This window comes from Homo sapiens, chromosome 10 (assembly GCF_000001405.40).
Source record: "Homo sapiens chromosome 10, GRCh38.p14 Primary Assembly".
NCBI lineage: Eukaryota > Metazoa > Chordata > Mammalia > Primates > Hominidae > Homo > Homo sapiens.
The window spans coordinates 121,886,333-121,908,355 of record NC_000010.11 but is presented as its reverse complement, the minus strand read 5'-3'; the positions used below and the strand labels follow the sequence as shown (position 1 = coordinate 121,908,355).

Genomic DNA, 22,023 nt, shown 5'->3' with positions numbered 1-22,023 from the left:
TTTTTTATATTTTTAGTAGAGACGGGGTTTAGCCATGTTGGCCAGGCTGGTCTCGAACTCCTGACCTCAGGTGATCCACCTGCCTTGGCCTCCCAAAGTACTGGGATTACAGGAGTGAGCCACTGCACCCGGCTGGTAGGATACATTCTTGATTCCTTCTTTTTATTTATCATTTTTCAAAATAACGTCTAACAGTGACCAGTTAGTTTTCTTGTTGGTATCATTGGGAACTCATGGATCTGAACATACTGCTGTTGCAATCTGTTGCTCCTCTGAAAGCTTCTTTAAGTTGGCTTTTGAGGCCTTTCGACATAATCCTGGTAGTCTTTGACAGCTTCCTTACTATTTGGCATGATATTATGCTCCTGGAGCATCTTGTACAGGCATTTCTTCGAGCAGTTGTGGTTCCTTTTAGTGGGAATTGGTATTTGGAGATCACACACTAGATTAGGAGTGCACATTATTGCTGCTGGCTTGGTCATTGTTTTCTAGGCTTCGTTGGCAAATAGACTTATGAGGTTATGAGTTCATACTGATATTTCCAATTCAAATTCAGGACTACAGCATTTTAATCTTTTTTTTTTTTCGAGACGGAGTCTCGCTCTGTCACCTAGGCTGGAGTGCAGTAGTGCGATCTTGGCTCACTGCAAGCTCTACCTCCCGGGTTCACGCCATTCTCCTGACTCAGTCTCCCTAGTAGCTGGGACTACAGGCGCCCACCACCATGCTAATTTTTTGTATTTTTAGTAGAGATGGGGTTTCACCGTGTTAGCCAGGATGATCTTGACCTCCTGATCTCGTGATCCATCCGCCTCGGCCTCCCAAAGTGCTGGGATTACAGGTGTGAACCACCGTGTCTGGCCGCATTTTAATCTTTTTCTTTATTTTTTTTTGACACAGTCTCGCTCTGTTGCCCAGGCTGGAGTGCAATGGCGCTATCTCAGCTCACTGCAACCTCTGCTTCCCGGGTTTAAGTGATTCTCCTGCCTCAGCCTCATGAGTAGCTGGGACTACAGGTGTGCACCACCACACCTGGCTAATTTTTGTACTTTTAGGTACTTTTAGTAGAAATGGGGTTTTGCCATGTTGGCCAGGCTGGTCTCGAACTCCTGGCCTCAAGTGATCCACCTGCCCCGGGCTCCCAAAGTGCTGGGATTACAGGCATGAGCCACCGTGCCCAGCCATACCTTTTTATCTTTTTCTTTTTTTTTGATGTTTGTAGTTTCTTCTGCACTGAGAAACCTAGTTCTCAAGAACACTGAGGATGGTAAAATTAGATTAGAATATCACACATTAACCTTTTGCTTTTTCCCACATTACACAGTTTTAGAATAACAACCTTACTTCCAGCAGTATGGTTACTGAAACATTAAAAACTATTTTTGCAGGGTTCTTATTTTTTTCACTTAAGGTATCTCTCACTAAAAATCCGAGACTATTTAAAAATCCTTGGATTTTGGCCGGGCTCAGTGGCTCACACCTGTAATCCCACACTTTGGGAGGCCGAGACAGGCGGATCACCTGAGGTCAGGAGTTTGAGACCAGCCTGGCCAGCATGGTGAAACCCCATCTCCATTAAAAATACAAAAATTAGCTGGGGGTAGAGGTGCGTGTCGGAAATCCCTGCTCCTCAGGAGGCTGAGGCAGGAGTATTGCTTGAACCCAGGGGGCAGAGGTTGCAGTGAGCTGAGATCACGCCACTGCACTCCAGCCTGGGTGACAGAGTGAGGCTCCATCTCAAACAAACAAAAAACCTTGGATTTTTTTTTTTTTGGAACCTGCAAAAGCAAACCTGCATTTCCTTTTTATTTTATTTTATTTTATTTTGAGACAGGGTCTTACTCTGTCTCCCAGGCTGGAGTGTAGTGACACGATCAGGACTCACTGTAGCCTTGACTTCCTAAGCTCAAGCAATTTTCCCACCTCAGCCACTGGAGCACTTGGGACTACCAGTACACGTCACTACACCTGGCTAATTTTTTGTATTTTTAGTAGAGAGGGGGTTTTGCCGTGTTGTACAGGCTGGTCTTGAACTCCTGGACTCAAGTGATCTGCCTGCCTCAGCCTCCCAAAGTGTTGGGATTACGGGCGTGAGCCACCACACCTGGCCTAAAAAAGTTGATTTGTAGAGATGAGGTCTTGCTATGTTGCCCAGGCTGGTCTGGAACTCCTGTGCTTAAGGAGTCCTCTCACCTTGGCCTCCCAAAGTGCTGGGATTTAGAGACATGAGCCATCATGGCTAGCTTGCATTTCCATTTTAATTTAAAAAATATTACAAATCTATTCCCTTGGACTTAATTAGAAATTATGTAGGTCTCCTAAACTCTATTTAAATCACCTGGGACTAATCAGGAATTCTTGAGTTGCTTTGAACCTCTGTGGGTGCAGGGTTGGTATAGTGTACTGATTTTACACTGATGATCTATTTTCATTCTGTTGAAGCAATTTATTGACCTGGGAGATCTGTATCCCCTAATATGCTGAAATCCTACTTTTTTTTCTCTCTCTTGGAGACAGAGTCTCGCTGTGTTGCTTAGGCCTGGAGTGCAGTGGTGTGATCTTGGTTTGCTGCAGCGTCTACCTCCTGGGTTTGAGCGATTCTCCTGCCTCAGGTTCCCAAGTAGCTGGGACTACAGGTGCACGCCGACACTCCCGGCTGATTTTTTTGTATTTTTAGTAGAGACAGGGTTTCACCATGTTGGCCAGGTTGGTCTCAAAACTCCTGACCTCAGGTGATCCGCCCGTCTCGGCCTTCCAAAGTGCTGGGATTACAGGCGTGAGCCACTGAGCCCCGCCTGAAATCCTACTTTCCACTGTAGTAACGTAGTATTTATAAATGTAGAGCAAAACAATCATGAGAAGACTTACCCAGCCCAGTGACTTAATTAGTGTAAAGACGATACAGGTAGTCAGTCCTTCATAAAAATGCTGAAAATGTGTGTTTCTTAGTTCATGTTAGTTTTAAATTTGCTTATAAATTTATAACTTCTGTAAGGAATGTAATTTTCAGTATAGAAAATGGAAGGTTTTGAAAATTACTATTTATGGAATGTTTATATAGGTAAAACATTATTTTAGATGTTGGTAATACAAATAATAGCTAATAATAATAGTTAACCCTAATTGAATGGCAGTTAATTTTTTATGAGCTGCACAGGTATTAACTCATTTAATCCTCACAGGAACTCTATAGGTAGGACTGGTTTTTGTTTTTCTTGTACAGACAGGGAAACGTGCCCAAGGTCAGCTAGCCAAGTGACAGAGCCTCGTCCATGACCTCAGGCAGCTTGTGTCAGACAGAGTGTGTGTGCTCAGAGCAAATTTGAGAAAAGACACAGTCTGTAGTCCAAGAAAAGTAATTCTGTTGGTCAGTAGAGTAATAGTTATAGAAATGGTCTTTTGTTACCTGGTTCAGACTTAACTTAGGCTTATTTAAAGTCATTTTTTAATAAGTAAACTTTATTTTTAGTTAGAAAACATGTTAATGAAGTTGTGATACAGTCTGAACTGTTTGTGAACTCACTATTTTCTCATCAGATTGGTTTTCATTTGATCAGCTTATGGTCTCAGGCAAGCCCTTTAACCACTCTAGGTTTTGATTTTCTTCTCTTTAAAAACTGAATTTGCTAGTTTTATAAACCTTTTTTTTTTTTGCTGACTTTGATATGGTTTGTGAGTACCCTGTTTTGGGATTTTTTTTTTTTTTTTTTTTTTTGAGACGGAGTCTCGCTCTGTCACCCAGGCTGGAGTGCAGTGGCGCAGTCTCAGCTCACTGCAACCTCCACCTACTGGGTTCAAGCAATTCTCCTGCCTCAGCCTCCCAAGTAGCTGGGACTACAGGCGTGCGCCACCATGCCTGCTTCATTTTTTTAATATTTAGTAGAGACAGGGTTTCACCGTGTTAGCCAGGTTGGTCTCAATCTCCTGACCTCGTGATCTGCCTGCCTCGGCCTCCCAAAGTGCTGGGATTACAGGCATGAGCCACTGCACCGGGCTGTTTTGGGATCTTAAACACCTTATTTCTTTAATATCTTCTAAAAAATTACTAGCATAATGTTCATTGTTGGAAAATTCGGCCAGGTGCGGTGGCTCACGCCCGTAATCCTAGCACTTTGGGAGGCCAAGGCAGGTGGATCACGAGGTCAGGAGTTCAAGACCAGCCTGACCAGCATGGTGAAACTCCGTCTCTACTGAAAATACAAAAAATTAGCCAGGCATGGTGGCACACACCTGTATTCCCAGCTACTCTGGAGGCTGAGGCAGGAGAATTGCTCGAATGGTCCGGTAGGCAGAGGTTGCAGTGAGCTCAGATGGCGCCACTGCACTCCAGCCTGGGTGACAGAGCGAGACTCTGTCTCAAAAAAAAAAAAGAAAATTTGGAGAAAAGAGAACACTACAAAGAAAGGTAAATCCTGTCTCTGTTTCTGAAACAAAGTAAAATGACTGTTACCATGGTGTCTCCTTTCCAGGTTTTTTTCTAAGTATTTTTATTTAGTTTATAATAGTAAAAATTTTTTTATTTTAAAGGGATGTCAGTTTGATATTTGGTCTGTTAATTAGAACAAAACTCTGATTAACTACAGCTGAACTAATGAGACCCAAATACCTGCAGTATTTGGAGAAAGACACAGATACCTTCAACTAAGCAAGGATTCCTTTTTTGTTTTTTGAGACAGAGTCTCACTCTGTCGCCCAGGCTGGAGTGCAGTGGTGCCATCTCAGCTCAGCACAACCTCTGCCTCCTGGGTTCAAGTGATTCTAATGCCTCAGCCTCCTGAGTAGCTGGGATTACAGGTGTGTGCTACCACACCTGGCTGATTTTTGTATTTTTAGTAGAAATGGGGTTTCACCATGTTGACCAGGCTGGTCTCGAACTCTCAACCTCAGGTGATCTGCCCGCCTTAGCCCCCCAAAGTGCTAGAATTCCAGGTGCACAAGGATTCTTTTAATTTAAAAAAACCTGTCAGTGTTTGCGCTGGGATCAGTATTCCTTTATACCTGGTTCCTAAGTATTTATGTTACCAGTGCTTTCAGAGAAATGTCCCTCAGAAATGTTGGGCAGAGATAGCAGTGTCCTTTTAATGCAGCAGGTACTTTGATTTGATTGTGTTCTTCCTCACAAAGGCAGAGAAGTGGATGAATGTTTTTTTTTAAAAAAAGATATTTGGGCCGGGCCTGGTGGCTCATTCCTGTAATCCCAGCACTTAGGGAGGCCAAGGTGGGTGAATCACGAGGTCAGGAGTTTGAGACCAGTCTGTCCAAGGGAGTTTGAGACCAGTCTGGCCAACATGGTGAAACTCCATCTCTACTGAAAATACAAAAATTAGCCAGGCACGGTGGCACACACCTGTAGTCCCAGCTACTCGGGAGGTTGAGGCAGGAGAATTGCTTGAACCTGGGAGGCGGAGGTTGCAGTGAGCTGAGATCATGCCATTGCACTCCAGCCTGGGTGACAGAGCGAGACTCTGTCTCAAAAAAAAGAAAAAAAAGATTTTCAGCAGTAAGAGCCACCTTGGAAAGTTTCTGTGCTATTTACTTTCTCTAGCAACTCCCACTTCTAAGGTAGAATTTTAGATCCACTTACAGCTCTGTATCAGGATCCTCTGAAACATCTACCCCAAAGCTAGCCTAACCATTGAAACTCTTTGGACTTACACTGTAGAATCTTTGAGACATGTGAAAAAACTTTTCTAGAACCAAATGTGATTGGTCTAATATTTTAAAATTCTTTTTAGGCAAAGGGGCTGATTTGAGTAAGCCTCCATGTCGAAAAGCAAAGGAAATCCGGAAAGAAAGGAAAAGGTTAAAACTAATGCAGCAGAACCCAGCTGGAGAACTTGAGGGTTTCCAGGCTCAAGGTCACCCACCATCTTTGTTTCCACCAAAGGCTAAATCCAACCAGCCAAAATCACTCGAAGATTTAATTTTTGAGTCTTTACCAGAGAATGCATCACACAAGTTAGAGGTACTTTGGAGGACTTTTGTTGTTTGTTTTATTATGATTTTTTTTTGTTTGGGCATATCGTTTATTTTTATTTGAAGTTCTAATTAGTTGATGTTTGCTAGTTAAATAATGAGAATTTAAAAGAAATTAAAGAGAACTGGGAAGAAGTAACATTTGTATTTACTAAGTTAACTGCTGTTTGAGGGAAACTCCTTTTTTTTTAAAAGACTTTTTGAGAATACATAGTTGGCCACCAAACTTGTGAAAACAGTGTCAATTTTAGCATGCTACCTTGATTGAAATTTAATAGTTAAAATGAAAGAAATACTCTTTAAAATTGTGTTTTTAGCAGTTTTGGTTTAGATAGTGAAAGACAATAGATTACACAAGGCAAATCACTATTTCATCCATTATAATATTCTGATCTTGGTAAAGACAGCAAATGGTGTCATATACATAAGCCAGCAGTTAGGAATTATCTAAATAGGGCTAAATTGTACTGCTGAAATCCTCTCTCATTAGTGCCAAAACCACTTTGGGCATAATATGAATACTTTTAGAGCCAAATTCCTCCATTTTTCCAAATTTATTTTCGTTTCTAGATCAGATCAAGATTTCTCAGTATTAGTTTCTCATATATAAAATTCAAAAACAAGGGCTGGATGTGGTGGCTCACACCTGTAATCCTAGCACTTTGGTAGGCCGAGGCAGGTGGATCTCTTGAGGTCTGGTGTTTGAGATCAGCTTGGCCAACACAGTGAAACCCCGTCTCTACTAAAATATAAAAATTGGCCAGGCGTGGTGGCGTGCACCTGTAATCCCAACTCCTAGAGAGGCTGAGACACCAGAATTGCTTGAACCCAGGAGGTGGAGGTTGTAGCGAGCTGAGATCACACCACTGCACTCCAGCCTGCGTGACAGAGCAAAAGACTGTCTCAAAAAAATTCAAAAACATTAGCCATAATGATTTTTATCTTATTCTCATATGTGATTAGTAACTGGTCAGCCTTTGAATTTTGTAGCTTACTATCATCTAAAAATATCACTTATCACTGAAGTCCTGATAATAAAAATTAACTTTCATGCATTCTAAGCCTTAATTCAGTATATGTATTATCAGACGTAGAATTTAGCTTTTTTTTTTGAGACGGAGTTTCACTCTTGTTGCCTAGGCTGGAGTGCAATGGCGCGATCTCGGCTCACTGCAACCTCTGCCTCCTGGGTTCAAGCGATTCTCCTGTCTCAGCCTTCTGAGTAGCTGGGATTACAAGTGCCCACCACTACGCCCGGCTAATTTCTGATATTTTTAATAGAGACAGGGTTTCACCATGTCAGCCAGGCTGGTCACGAACTCCTGACCTCAGGTGATCACCCGCCTCGGCCTCCCAAAGTGCTGGGATTAGAGGTGTGAGCTACCTTGCCTGGCCAGATTTTAGCTTTTATAACTCCTTGGCTACTCTGATTTGGATACAGATTTTTTTGTCCTTCCAAAATTGTAAACAGAGTTGAATACACTACTTAAAATATTTTACAAGGTGTCTTTTATCTTTGATCATAAATAGTAATGTATTCAGGAGGCCAAGCACGCTTAACATAACAGTTCTCCAGTGGTTACTTGTACTTTTTGAATGTAATGATACTCAGGATGTATAGAGATCTTTTACCACTGGGTGTCGCTCTTTCTTCATAGAATTACGTCTCACGGCACACATGTCCAGTTTCCAGCTGTTTTCATTGCATTGCATTTGACTGTTTTACTGTTCTGTTTTGCTAATACATTTTAAGTGGCTAGTAAATAATGTTAAAGTAAATGTTAGCCATTACTGCGTGCAATTACTGTTTTAAACTTATCCTTATTTTACAAGGTTACTTGACCAAGATGGTGACATTGTAAGATTTGAACAAAGGAAATGTGACTTCAGAGTCATGGTTGTTAACTATGCTATGAAGTAGGAAAACTTTATGAGGTCTTTTTAACTCAAACAGTCAAGTTTTAAGTTGAGGGTTAGCAATGATGAATGAGTGGCCAAAAAATGTATTCATATTTTTAGTCTTTCTTAGAATTACTGGTAGTTGTGCACAACTAGAGGGTATTTATTTGTGTGTGTATGTGTCGTGTGTGTACGAGTGCTGGAAATACTCTGCCAGTTTACAGTAGAGGCAGGCTTACATAATTCAGTCATGAAAGCTGAGGCTTATAGTTTAGAGGGGATCGTCCTCTTCTTAATGAGTCTGTAAGTTACAAAAATAACTTTTTTCTTTATTTACTAACTGGTTGGTTTTTAATATTAAAATATTTAGGTGCTTTAATAATTGTTGAAACTTGGTTTCTTGGATGGGAGTTACTCTTAATGCATATTCCACAGAATGAATAAATGAATGAATTAGTAAACTTGTTTTTTTAACTGCTTCTGAAGGTGAGGGTGGTGAGATCATCTCCACCAAGTTCGCAGTTCAAAGCCACACTTCTGGAGTCTTACCAGGTCTATAAACGTTACCAGATGGTTATTCACAAGAACCCACCTGATACGCCAACCGAAAGCCAGGTCAGCAGGCCAAGTGTAATTTTCCTGTGCAAACAGAGCTTTCCCTTCCACTTAATATCATTTAATGAAATCTTGGTTTATTTGTGCTACATTTTATTTGTGTTCAATTTGCAGCATATCTGCAAAGACCTAAGACTGAATTAATGGACATTCTGAAAGTGCAAATTTTACCTAGTGCCATGTTAAGTACCAGCCATGTATAATTTCAGAGTCAAAGTAACATGTAAAATTATTTAAAGTCACTATTTTAGATGCATTTATCTAAAAGATAGTAATAGAGCTCTAAATTAAAATACCTGTGAGGAAAACTCAGGAAACTATATTTTTATGGTAGATACGTACTTTGCCTAACATGATTTTAATGCTTTATCTGTATTTGAAAGATGTATGTAGGAATAATTGATCCCAGTTAAATTATTCTTTATTAATGTGCTACCCTTGCACAATTGAGTGGGACTAAAAAAGGAAGATAGTAGAACATTTTAATAGAAGAACTCATATGCTAATAATTTTGTAAGTTAAATGACCCAAGAAAAATCTGTAAAGGAAAAAAGCTTAAAACACTTAGTATAAGTAGAGGTGGCAAAAGTAGCGATCATCACCATGATTAACAACAATATTGACTCTAGTTTATGCAGAAAACTACAATTAGTGGAGAGAGAGAAAAAAAAAAGAACAAATTGTTGGCTCTTATGAGGTTGAGATTTTCATAAGTTTTAGTACAGTTAGCACTTCGGTCTCTGCACCCGTCTGCCTCGTCTAAGGTTTCTTTTCATGACAAATTCGAGTTCGAGCTTTGGCGTGGATTTGTGGAGATCTTACTGTAGCCTCACCTTCAGAAGCATATCATCAGAGATGTTTCAATAGCATTTGCTTGTATTTTCCTTGCTCTGAAGGTGAGGTTAGTACCTGTCTCCTTTGAGGACCCAGAGTTCAAGTCGTCTTTCAGCCAGTCCTTTTCTTTGTATGTCAAGTATCAAGTGGCCATACACCAGGATCCACCCGATGAATGTGGGAAGACTGAGGTATTGTTAACTGTTGTTTTCTGTGTTGATAAGGTTGTCTGGGAAGAAGTATAATATATACCATTTTCTTGTCAGGTGGAGCTGATGACCCTTTCAGTGTGTATTACTGAACTTCTGTGAACACTCACATGACTCATACATGTGAGCATTTTAAATCCTTAGAAAAAAGGATTGCAAATTCAGGATGCGTTCTTAGTGTTTTCTCTAGGAACCTGAAAGTAGTGGTTTATAAGGTCAGTCATCCACTCTAGGTCAACAGTCATTTACTGAGTGCCCATCGTGTGCCAGACTGTGCACCACAGAACAAAAGGAGTCTCTGTCTTCAAGAAATTGATAATCAAATGGGAAAGACAGACCAATAAGCAAAAATACCTTAACAACAAGTGAATTAGAAAGAAATACCTACACCTAACCTACCGAACATCATAGCTTAGCCTCGCCTGCTTTACACATTCTCAGAACACTTATAATCTGCAGTTAAGCAGAATCATCTAACACAAAGCCTATTTTATAATAAAATGTTGAATATCTCATGTAATTTATTGAATACTGTACTGAAAGTGAAAAACGGAATCGTTTTCCATCATTGTAAAGTTGAAAAAGCATAAGTCCAACCATTATAAGTTGGGGACCTTCTGTTAGATATAATATGGTTTAACGGGCGTTTATTGAGGGTCTGTCTTTGTCAGTCTTGGGATATTGAAATGAATGAGATGGCATCGTTGTCACAGTAGAACCATGGTATGTTGGAAGAAAGAGGCCAACAGATGCAGAAGAATTAGAGTTTTGATTTTTTGACTGCTTTTGTTTTTTTAATGACACGATGTGTAAGCTAAAAAGAGAGGGTTAATACAACAGGAGTTAATGCTGCATGTTCCCTGAGAAAGGGCTCACTTCCCAGATCCCCCAGAGTCTTCTGGTTAAAGTGTCATTTGCAGACCTGCAGCATCAGCAGTACCTGGAACACAGACTCTCAGTCCTATTCATTCAACATCTACTTTTTTTTTTTTTTTTTTGAGACGGAGTCTTGCTCTGTTGCCAGGCTGGAGTGCAGTGGCGCAATCTCTGCTCACTGCAACCTCCACCTCCCGGGTTCAAGCGATTCTCCTGCCTCAGCCTCCTGAGTAGCTGGGACTACAGGCGCGTGCCACCACAGCCGTCTAATTTTTATATTTTTAGTAGAGATAGGGTTTCACCATGTTGGCTAGGTTGGTCTTGATCTCTTGATCTTGTGGTCTTCCTCCTTGGCCTCCCAGAGTGCTGGGATTACAGGCATGAGCCACCGGGTCCGGCCAGAATCTACATCTTAAACTGGGTTTCCAAAGGATTCAGATGCACATTTCAGTTTTGAGAGGCTATGTCCTAGGTTCCCTGTTGATCCATGCCACTGTGGGTGATAGCATTTGCAGATAGTAAGGATTCTGCTAGGCCTAGGAAGCTTCCTTTGATATTCTCAGGGGGTCTTTTTGCTTTCTGAACTTTCCTCCTTCCTAGTGCTCTGGAGATGATGCCTTTCTACCTCCCTGCTTAGCAGGTAGGAATAGTTGGACAAAATGTTTCTGTGGCCCGGTGTATTTATTCAAGACTTCCCCAGGAGCTTCTCCTAGTAGGCTTCAGGCCTCTGGGAAGTCCCTTTATGCAGACTTAGAGCAGCACTAAAGGCATTCATAGTCTGAATTGGGGTGGTAGACAGGTATGCAATTCCAGTGCCTTTAGAATTAGCCATTGGATTAGTAGGGACAGCCAGCTTAGTGTGAAACTGGAGGTTAGAGAGGTTTTTCTGAGGGAAGTGACATTTGAGCCAAGTCTGGAAAGATGAGTAGGTGTTTGCCAGGACAAAAAGGGAGAAAGGTGTTCTGGGCAGCAGGACTAGCAAAATGCAGAGGTGTGGAGGGTAAAATTGTATGCCATTTTGAGGAACTACTATTAATACTTAGTTTAGTATGGCCAGAACATAGAGTACCTGTTAGGAGGTAATAGGGGATGAGGCTTTTTTTTTTTTTTTTTTTTTTTTTTTGAGACAAAGTCTTGCTCTGTCTCCCAGGCTGGAGTGCAGTGGCGTGATCTTGGCTCACTGAGCCTGGGCTCACTGCAGCCTTTGCCTCCCGGGTTCAAGCAGTTCTTCTGCCTCAGACCCCTGCGTCTCTGGGATTACAGGTGTGTGCCACCATGCCCAGCTAATTTTTGTATTTTTAGTAGAGACAGGGTTTCACCATGTTGGCCAGGCTGGTCTTGAACTCCTGACTTCAGGTGATCCACCCACCTTGGCCTCCCAAAGTGCTGGGATTACAGGTGTGGACTACTGTGCCCGACCAAGGGATGAGGCTTTTTGGAGGTTTAGGTAGGAGCCAGATTTTTAAAAAAATAATATTTTAGAAATACTTAAACTGCGACATACCTATCAGCAGTCTTCAACTAGCCTCAACATGCTGCCATTCTTGTTTAATCTATCTCTCCATACTTTTTTGTTGTTATTTTGCTGTACTATTTTATACCAAATCTCAGACATATCATTTTATAATTAAGTCCTTCAGTATGTATCTTAACTGACTTAAAATGTGGGATGATCAGATACGTGCCTCCTAATGTAATCCAGTAAGAAGTATAAACCACCACCTGTGGAATGTTCTTGCTAAAGAAATTGAATCTGGATCTATCCAAGCTTCTAGATCTACTGACCAGTTCACAGGAAATATGAGGGGTAAAGGAATACGTTAAAATGACACTTGGGCACTTAGATAAATTACCTAGTTTCTTTAAATAAATTAATAAAGAAGCACTTAAAAAGGGAACTCTATTCTTAGATTAAAAGTTATTAATATAGACATCAAAAAATATATAACTACAGTACCATTATTACACCCAGCAAAATGTATATTATTTAATGCTTAGTACATGTTTGATTTTTTTTTTTTTGGTGGGGGGAGACAGAGTCTTGCTCTGTCGCCCAGGCAGGAGTGCATGGTGCCATATTGGCTTACTGCAGCTTTGCCTCCCAGGTTCAAGTGATTCTTATGCCTTAGCCACCTGAGTATCTGGGACTACAGGCATGTGCCACCACGTCTAATTTTTGTATTTTAGTAGCAATGAGATTTTGCCACATTGGCCAGGCTGGTCTTAAACTCCTGTAATCCTAAAGTGCTGGGATTACAGATGTGAGCCACTGCACCTGGCTGATATACTACATTTTGTTTTCCACTCATCCATTGATGGAATTTTTTTTTTTGAGCCGGAGTTTCGCTCTTGTCAACCAGGCTGGAGTGCGATGGCGTGATCTCTGCTCACTGCAACCTCCGCCTCCAAGGTTCAAGCGATTCTCCTGCTTCAGCCTCCCGAGTAGCTGGGATTACAGGTGCCCACCACCACACCTGCCTAATTTGTTTTTTTGTATTTTTAGTAGAGATGGGGTTTCGCCATGTTGGCCAGGCTGGTCTCAAACTCCTGACCTCGTGATCCACCCGCCTCGGCCTCCCGAGGTGCTAGGACTACAGACGTGAGCCACCGTGCTCAGCCTTGGGTGGTTTTTATTGTTTGGCTTTTATAGAAAATTCTATTATGAACATTTCACGTTCACGTTTTTATGTGGATGTGTATTTTCTTGGGTGTATACGTACGCGTGGAATTACTGGGTCACGTGGTAACTCATGTGTTTTCCTTTTGAGGATCTGCCAGACTTGTTTTTCAGAGAGTGAAATCATTTACCATTCCCACCGGAAGTGTATGAGGGCTCTGCTTTCTCCCTCCATGTGCTCACCAACACTTGTGTCTCTTTTTTCTTAAAATTGATTTTTATATTACTTGTAGCATGTGTAAAGTGGTGTCTCATTATGGTTTTGATTTGCATCTCCCTTCCTGTGCTTTTTGGCCTTTTGCGTTTCTTCTTTGGAGAATTGTGTATTCTAACCCTTTGCTCATTTTATTTTTTATTTATTTATTTTTTGAGACAGAGTCTCACTCTGTCGCCCAGGCTGGAGTGCAGCGGTGCGATCTCGGCTCACTGCAAGCTCCGCCTCTCGGGTTCGGGCCATTCTCCTGCCTCAGCCTCCCAAGTAGCTGGGACTACAGGTGCCCGCCACCACGCCCGGCTAATTTTTTTGTATTTTTAGTAGAGACGGGGTTTCACCGTGTTAGCCAGGGATGGTCTTGATCTCCTGACCTCGTGATCTGCCTGCCTCAGCCTCCCAAAGTGCTGGGATTACAGGCGTGAGCTCCCACACCCGGCACCCTTTGCTCATTTTTTAATTGGATTGTCTTTGTTACTGAGTTGTAGGAGTTTATTATATATATTCTGGGTACAAGTCTCTTATGTATGTGATTAGACTCTTTCATTTTGTGAATTATCTATATCCCTAGGAACATTTCCTGGTGCAAATCTATTTTGTCTGCTCTTAGTAGAGCCACTCCATGTTGTGATTCTTGTTTGCATGACACATCTTTTTCCTCCTTTTACCTTCAATCTGTTTGTGTCTTTGAATGTAAAGTGTGCCTCTTTTAGACACCATGTAATTGACCTGGGTTTTTGTTTTTGGTTTTTTAAAGTCCATAGGGAGAACAGTGTCCCTTTTCATTGAAGTGTTAAATCAGTTCACATTTAATGTTTTGATTGAACTAGTTGAATTTATGCCTTCCATTTTACTTCCATTTCCATTTCCTCGATATGTCCATGTTTTTTTTTTTCCTCTGTTCCTTTTTTTTTTTTTTTTGAGATGGAGTTTCGCTCTTGTTGCCCAGGCTGGAGTGCGATGGCGCAATCTTGGCTCACTGCAACCTCCGCCTCCCGGGTTCAAGTGATTCTCCTGCCTCAGCCTACCTAGTAGCTGGGATTACAGGCGTGTGCCACCACGCCCGGCTAATTTTGTATTTTTAGTCAAGACGGGGTTTCTTCATATTGGTCAGGCTGGTCTCGAACTCCTGACCTCAGGTGATCCGCCTGCCTCGGCCTCCCAAAGTGCTGGGATTACAGGCATGAGCCACCGCACCCAGCCTTCCTCTGTTCCTCTTTTACTGCTTGCTTTTGCATTAAATATTTTCTAGTGTATTAAACGAATATTTTCTAGTGTAACATTTTAATTCCTTGAATGATTTTTTTCACTATATATTTTTAAGATATCAGTGGCTGCTCTAGTATTTAAGATAGAGATCTTAATTTACACAATTGACTTCAGATTTATATGAACTTAATTCCAGAGAGATGTAAAAAAATGTTACTTCTGTATCATTTTAGTCCCTCTTTCCCTTTTTTGTGCCATTATTGTTATACATATTACATGTATCTATGTTAAAAATTCAATAATTATAATTATTCCTTTATATAATTGTGTCTTTTATAAAGTTGAGAAAAGGAATAAGAACAATTAGTTATTTATAATTTCTTACGTTAACCAGTTTATTTACTATTTCTGGTTCTCATTTGTTCTATGGATTCAAATTACCTTCTAGTATAGCTTTGCTCCTCTCTACTTAATGAAATTACTGTCAAATACATTAATTTTCTCCATGTTATTGTCCCAATGGTACAATTATCTACATAACGTTTTTACAATTTTGTTTTTTTTTTTTTTTTTGAGACTAAGTCTCACTCTGTCACCCAGGCTAGAGTGCAGTGGCGTGATCTTGGCTCACTGCAACCTCTGCCTCCCGGATTTAAGCAATTCTCCTGCCTTAGCCTCCCGAGTAGCTGGGACTACATGTGTGTGCCACCACTTCTGGCTAATTTTTTGTATTTTTAGTAGAGATGGGGTTTCACTATGTTAGCCAGGATGGTCTCGATCTCCTGACCTCGTGATCTGTCTGCCTCGGCCTCCCAAGTGCTGGGATTACAAGCGTAAGCCACCGTGCCCGGCCTACAATTGCTTTTTAAGTCAGTGAAGAGAAGAAAGGACAGTATGTATTTATTTATGAGAAGCCTCTGATGTCACGCCCTAGAGGGCTCAGCCTGGGGCATATGCACAGTCACCCTGGATGTCAGTGGTCTTAATAGTGTTCTTTTTGTCTCTCCCTGATCTTTTTAAAATGTTTACCACTGAGGCTGGGCGCCATGGCTCATGCCAGTAATCCGATCACTTTGGGAGGCCAAGGCAGGTGGATCACCTGAGGTCAGGAGTTCGAGACCAGCCTGGCCAACATGGTGAAACCCTCTGGAGGGTCCTACTACTAAAAATACAAAAATTAGCTGGGCATGGTGGAGGGCACCTGTAATCCAGCTACTCAGGAGACTGAGGCAGGAGAATTACTCCAACCTGGAAGGCAGAGGTTGCAGTGAGCCGAGATGGTGCCATTGCGCTCCAACCTTGGCGAGGGCGACAAGAGGGAGACTGTGTCAAAAAAAAAAAAAAAAAAAAGTTTTGTCACCGTTTGTGTCCCACCCAAACTTCCCCGTATCTCTTTTCCAAATAAAGAGCACTGAGGAACCCCCTTTCCCTAACCCCTCCTCCCTTCTCCCCCAAATCTTTCTGCCACTCTTGTGCTCTCTTTGAATGACACCTCTGGTCCAGGTAAGATAATTAAATTTGGGGCTCATTAACAGGGATTAACCTGCCAGTTGCCCTAGTGATAGTTCTATTAAGGAGATGGTCACTGCTGCAGATGAGATTCTTCACCGGTCGTGTTTTCATCCTAGAAATTCTTTCTCCACTTGGCAAACCCTTGGCCTACAGATAGAGAGTGCACTATCTGTGGGGCTGACTGCTGAGAAAAACTGATTGGGATGTGCTACTTGGCTTCCCAGTCTTGAAGCATGGTGTTTTATATTGAAAGAAGCTAATTTTGGTGTGGAGTTCAAATGTACTTTTCCCCTGTACATGACTACAGTTTTCTACGTCAGGAAATGGCCAGTGTTCATTTCTTCTCTTTCTGCTCTAATGCAGAAAGAGAAGCCAAAAAAGTTCTTTGAAAAGTTTGCATTATACTGACTTGCTTTAAGGGACTCTGTACAGTATCACACTGTGGTGTAGTTTTGTTAATATAAGAGGGAAAACTAATTATGTTCAAGAAAATACATTTTTTGCTTTTTTCGTTGGAAAACATTTAAAGTAAAAAACAGTTAATATGCCTATTTGAAGATTTCAGGTAACCAACCACATTAGTGCATAAAATCCAGTCTGACTCTGTAAAATAATCATTTAAATACTCTGAAAAATAGGTTATTTTTTGAGAAATTTGATGCAAAGATAAATATAGATTGCCTGGCTATTCTAAGCAATTCTTTTCAGTAACCTTAATACAGACATCATTAAGAAATAATTTTTAGGCAGCTAGAAAGGGTAAAAGTTCTCCGTGGAATTTTCCTTTAATAAAAAGCAGCTCTAAACCATTTCTTCTCTAACAGAAAGCACCCTGAGGAGTCAGGCATAGATATGCAAACTAGAAGCTTTTATATGTAAATGCAGGCAGCTGTACCTGCAAGCCAGGTATATTCAATATGGTCTCTCCTGCCCTCTTTTTCCTGTCGCCACCATGTGCCGGCATCCTGGTAACCTCCATGTAAAATCACATGTTCAGGTATCATGGCCACCACCTGGTGGAGGCCACATTTGCATAATAAAAGACTAGGGTGGGAGGGTCAGTCTTTTCGAGGGCTATATAAATGGCATACCCGATCAACCCAATCCCCTGAGCCCCATGTAAATCAGTTACCACCTCTTCAGTCCTCTGTACAAAACCGATTGCCTTCTGCCACAAACTGGAGACCCTTTTTGGGCAACCCACTTTCTCAGCTTGAGGAAGCCTTTTCTCTTTCTTTGTCTGCTAAACTTTCTGCTCCTAAACCCTCTCCTCGTGTGTCTGTGTCCTGAATTCTTTATTGACCGTGACAAAGAACCAGGGTATATACCTCAGACAGTGGAGCCGTTTCAACATCTTTAGAAAAGTAGCACATAATTGCAAATAGTGAAATAATATAGGACTTTGTAAATTAATCCAGTATGTGTGTTTCCATGACTGTTTTCAGTCATTCAGGTAGATATCAGATTTTCAGAAAGTAATGTGATATAAATTGGAGTAATTTGTGACCTGTCTCGTTTATAATACAGTATAAAGCTAACTTTTAAGAATCTTTATTTTTCAGGATACCAGTAATTCTATGTGATAGAAACATGAGATTTTAGCTGAAATTCTATTGATGTTATTCTTTAGAAAATACTGTTGTCTAATAATATGTGCCGTTGGTTTCCTAGAATAGAGTTGACCTCTCATCTCTTCTTTACTGTCTCAAAAACAGCCTAGTCATAAACCCAGTAATCTCATCATACTTCTGCATTCACTGACTAATTGTTTCCCAAATTTTATTATCAACATTATCAGACATAAAGGAAAATTGAAAGAATGGTTTACTGATTATACTGATGACCTGTACATCCCTCACCTAGTTTCAACAGTTGTTAGTTTTTCTTTGCTTTATCTTTTTTTTGTGTATGAGTCATTTTAACATCCATTATATATCATGACATTTTACTACTAAATTCTTTAGCATACATGTTCAAACAATGAGATGTGCTTCTACAAGACGTGGTATAATTATAACGCATGAGAAACTTAATGATAATTTGTAAATATCATCTACTATTTAGTGCTTATTTTACATTTTCCCATTTTAAAAGATATAGTGTTTAATCAAAGTTTATTACATTTTGTGATATCGTTTTAGATTCTTTTATTCTAGGGCAGCTTCTTAATTTTTTTCTGTAATATTGACTTCTTTTCCTTAACTTTCTACTTTGAAACTTTTGGAGTTTTTGAACAGAAAAGTTGAAAGAATGTAATGAACACCCAGACTCCATTCACCAATGTTGACAAGTTGTTAACAACTTTGTTAGGTTTACTTTATCTTTCTCTCTTGAACCATTTGAAAGTTGTGCATGTTATGACATTTTGCCTGGATGTGCTAAGCATACGTCTCCTAAGAATAAGTATATTCTCTTATATAACCACAATATTTACTCTTTAAAAACTGTAGAAATTCTATAACATCACAGTCCATATTCAGATGTTCCAAGTGTACCAAAAATACCTTTACTTTTTTTTTTTTTAAGAGACAAGGTCTTGGTCGGTCACCCAGGCTGGAGTACAGTAGCATGGTCATAGTTCACTGCAGCCTTAAACTTCTGGGCTGAAGTGATCCTTCTGCCTCAGTCTCCCTTCTGAGTAGCTAGGACTACAGGAGTGGACCACCATGCCAGGCTAATTTTTAATTTTTTTCCTTTTGTAGAGGTAGAGTCTTGCTATATTGCTCAGGCTGGTCTTGAACTCCTGGCCTCAAGCAATTTTTCTGCCTCGGCCTCTCAAAGTGTTGGGATTACAGGCATGAGCTATTGTGCCTGGCCCCAAAATAGAAAATAGCTTTTATAGATGAATGAAAATAGGATCCAGTCACGGTTCACACATTTTACATGAACTGTATTGTGTTTATGTTATGTTTATGACTGTTCTGTTTCTGTAATCTTTTTTGATTTTTTCATTTAATGACTTTGACATTTAACCCAATTATCTTTAGAATGTTCCGTATCACAGTTCGGTTTTTGTTGTTATCTAGTAATCAGATTCTTAAGTGTTCTTAAAAGTTTAATGTTTTTAGGTGTAGGTTATGTGTACTTAAAAAAAGTTTTTTATTGAAGTATAACGTATATACAGAAAAGTATGCATAAGTGTTCAGATAGATGAAATTTCACAAATTGAACTCACTGTTAGATTAAGAAATTGCTACTCGGGAAGCTAAAGCGGGAAAATCGCTTAAACCCAGGACGCAGAGGTTGCCGTGAGCTGAGATGGTGCCACTGAACTCCAGACTGGATGCAGAATGAGACTCTGTCTCAAAAAAATAAATAAATAAATAAGTTGATTACTACTAACTCCTCAGAAGCCCCTGCTTGTTCTTTTCCATCACTACCGGTATTTTCTTGACTTGTAAAACTACAGATTAGTTGTGCCTGTTTTATACTTAATGTAAGTAGAATCCTACTCTTTTGAGTGTGGTTTCATTTGCCCAACATTATGGTAGTGTGAGTTATCTATTTTATTTTGCCTGTTGTAGTAGACTGTTAACTCTCATCGCTGTATAGTGTTTTATGTATGACTATCCAGAATTTATCCCTTTCTACTGTTGGTGGGAATTTTAGTAGTTCCTGGTATGAGGCTACCGTGAAAAGTGCTGCATATGTACATCCTTATACATACCTTTTGGTAAACATACGGACACATTTCTATTTGATGTGTGCCCAATAGAAATGCTGTGTCGTAGGGTGTGCAGGTGTTCAGCTTTTTTCATATTGTCAGTTTCCTCTAGGGCTTGTGCCAGTCTTACTCTTTTACTGTATCATATCAAGCAGCATGTAATGTCGGTTGTCCTTCATTTGTGATGGGGACATTTAAGTCTGTTGTCACTTGGTTTGCTCACTTGGTTGAATAACAGCCATCAGCTCTCTTTATTATTATTATTATTCATTTATTTTTTGAGATGGAGTCTTGCTCTGTCGCCCAGGCTGGAGTGCAGTCGCGTGATTTCGGCTCACTGCAAGCTCTGCCTCCCAGGTTCATGCCATTCTCCTGTCTCAGCCTCCCGAGTAGCTCGGACTCCAGGCGCCTGCCACCACGCCCGGCTAATTTTTTGTATTTTTAGAAGAGACAGGGTTTCACTGTGTTAGCCAGGATGGTCTCGATCTCCTGACCTTGGGATCCGCCCACCTTGGCCTCCCAAAGTGCTGGGATTACAGGCGTGAGCCACTGCGCCCAGCCTCTTTATTATTCTTATATTTTTTTCTTTGTAATTAGATCTTCTCATTTTAAAGGCATGTTATACCCTTATTATGATAATATTTCTGAGGTAGGAGGAATAACCTCTTTCCCAATAACCTGTTGTCCATTTGTTTTAGCATCTTTGATGATCCTTGCCTGAAGTAGTTATTATGGAGAGGTGGGAGAGGTAGCAAAATGGTGATTTGTCTAATTGTATTATTGTTTCTACACTTATTAGCTGAAATTCTTTCTCTCTGTAAAGAAGAGATTTCTCTCTGTATTCACAACTCCCTACCTCTCACCATCTTTTTTCCTTCTGATAGCATTGTAGGCTCATGGCCTTATATGAAGTGCTATAATCCATTGCCATCTGTTTTATTTTTTATTTTTCTTCTTATCGTTTTTTGAGACAGAGTCCTGCTCTGTTGCCCAGGCTGGAGTGCAAGTGGCGTGATCATAGCTCACTGTAACCTCAAACTCTTGGACTCAAGCAGTCTTCCCACCTCAGCCTCCTAAGTAGCTAGGAGTACAGGTGCACATCACTACATCCAGCTAATTTTTAAATTTTTTTTTGTAGGGGGGCGTCTTGCTGTGTTGTCCAGGCTGGTCACCTGGCATCACCTGATCCTCCTGCCTCAACCTGCTAAAGTACTGGCATTATAGGTGTGAGCCATTGTGCCCAGCCTGTAATGTTTTTTAAATTAGTTCAGGGAACTTCCTATGAGAGATGGAAATAGGAGGCGATATCTACTTCTGAGGGATGCTTATTTTGAGGATAGTTATCTTATATTCAGGTGTATGTATATTCACTTGTTTAGACAATGAGTGTGGAAAGGAAAGGTCGTGATGAGTCCATTCTGACCCCATGGAGACTTGAAAGGAGACGGTGGAAGCTGCGCCACTGTCTCACTCCGCCACCAGGTGGTGGTGTAGATCGAGAACCCTTTGCTCTTTCATCTTGGCTCAGCTTGCTCTCTGCAAGTTGTGTGTTCACAGCCCAAGAAGTATGAATAAAGGCTTCTTTTTCTATCATTTATTGTAATTTTCATTGAGGCATTAAAAGGATAATTACAAGTGATTCTTTGCTTGTTAAAGGTTTTAAATATTTTCTGGACTTTAATCTCGAGAAGTTTTCATCTTTATTTTTTTTCCTCTTAATGGCTTACATTTTTGTATATGAAAGTAGTAACTTATATTTAGAAAATTATTCAGTGTATTAGAGAATTGACATTCTCCAATTAGGCAAAGACCAGACAATCATATATAGGCACACACAGTAAGTTCTCACTTAATGTCATTAATAGTTCTTGGAAACTGTGGTCATAGGTGAAATGACATACAAGGAAACCAGTTTTACCCTAGGCTAATTGATATAAACAAGAGTTAAGTTCCTACAGCATATTTCTGGTCACAAAACATCACCAGACTTCTAAATAAAAACCAAAGCACTTCTAATATTAAACATTGAAATAAATGTGAGCTATACATACATTTAAGAAAGATTAATAAAAATAAGTAAGATATTATTAACCCAGTGATTTCAGTTCAGGTGGCGGGGAGCTGTAGCCTATTCTGGAAGCTTAGGGCGCAGGTTGGACACTCACCCTGGACAGGAGTCTGTTCCACCACAGGGCATATTCACGCACACACCCACACTCACACTGGGACCATGTATACACAGCAGTGAACCTAACGTGCACACGTGTGAGATGTGGGAGGAAACTGGAAGACCCAGAGCAAGCCCACACAGATGTGGGGGGAATTGCAAGCTCCACACAGA

General features: G+C 40.5%; 1 protein-coding gene across 40 annotated transcripts in view; it reads left to right on the top strand.

Moving 5' to 3' along the window:
• The window catches only part of ATE1 (arginyltransferase 1), a 188,040-nt gene that overhangs the window by 20,108 nt on the left and 145,909 nt on the right, over positions 1–22,023 (top strand). For 11 of the 40 annotated variants that reach the window (NM_001439364.1, NM_001439362.1, NM_001439365.1 and 8 more), the window contains 3 exons: positions 5,736–5,965; positions 8,362–8,490; positions 9,387–9,515. In NM_001439364.1, coding sequence (NP_001426293.1) covers positions 5,736–5,965; positions 8,362–8,490; positions 9,387–9,515 — 488 coding nt within the window. Of the gene's footprint in view, positions 1–5,735; positions 5,966–8,361; positions 8,491–9,386; positions 9,516–19,199; positions 19,361–22,023 lie in introns of those variants that run through there. The other 29 variants (NM_001439374.1, XM_047424530.1, NM_001288736.2 and 26 more) reach the window with 6 other exon arrangements.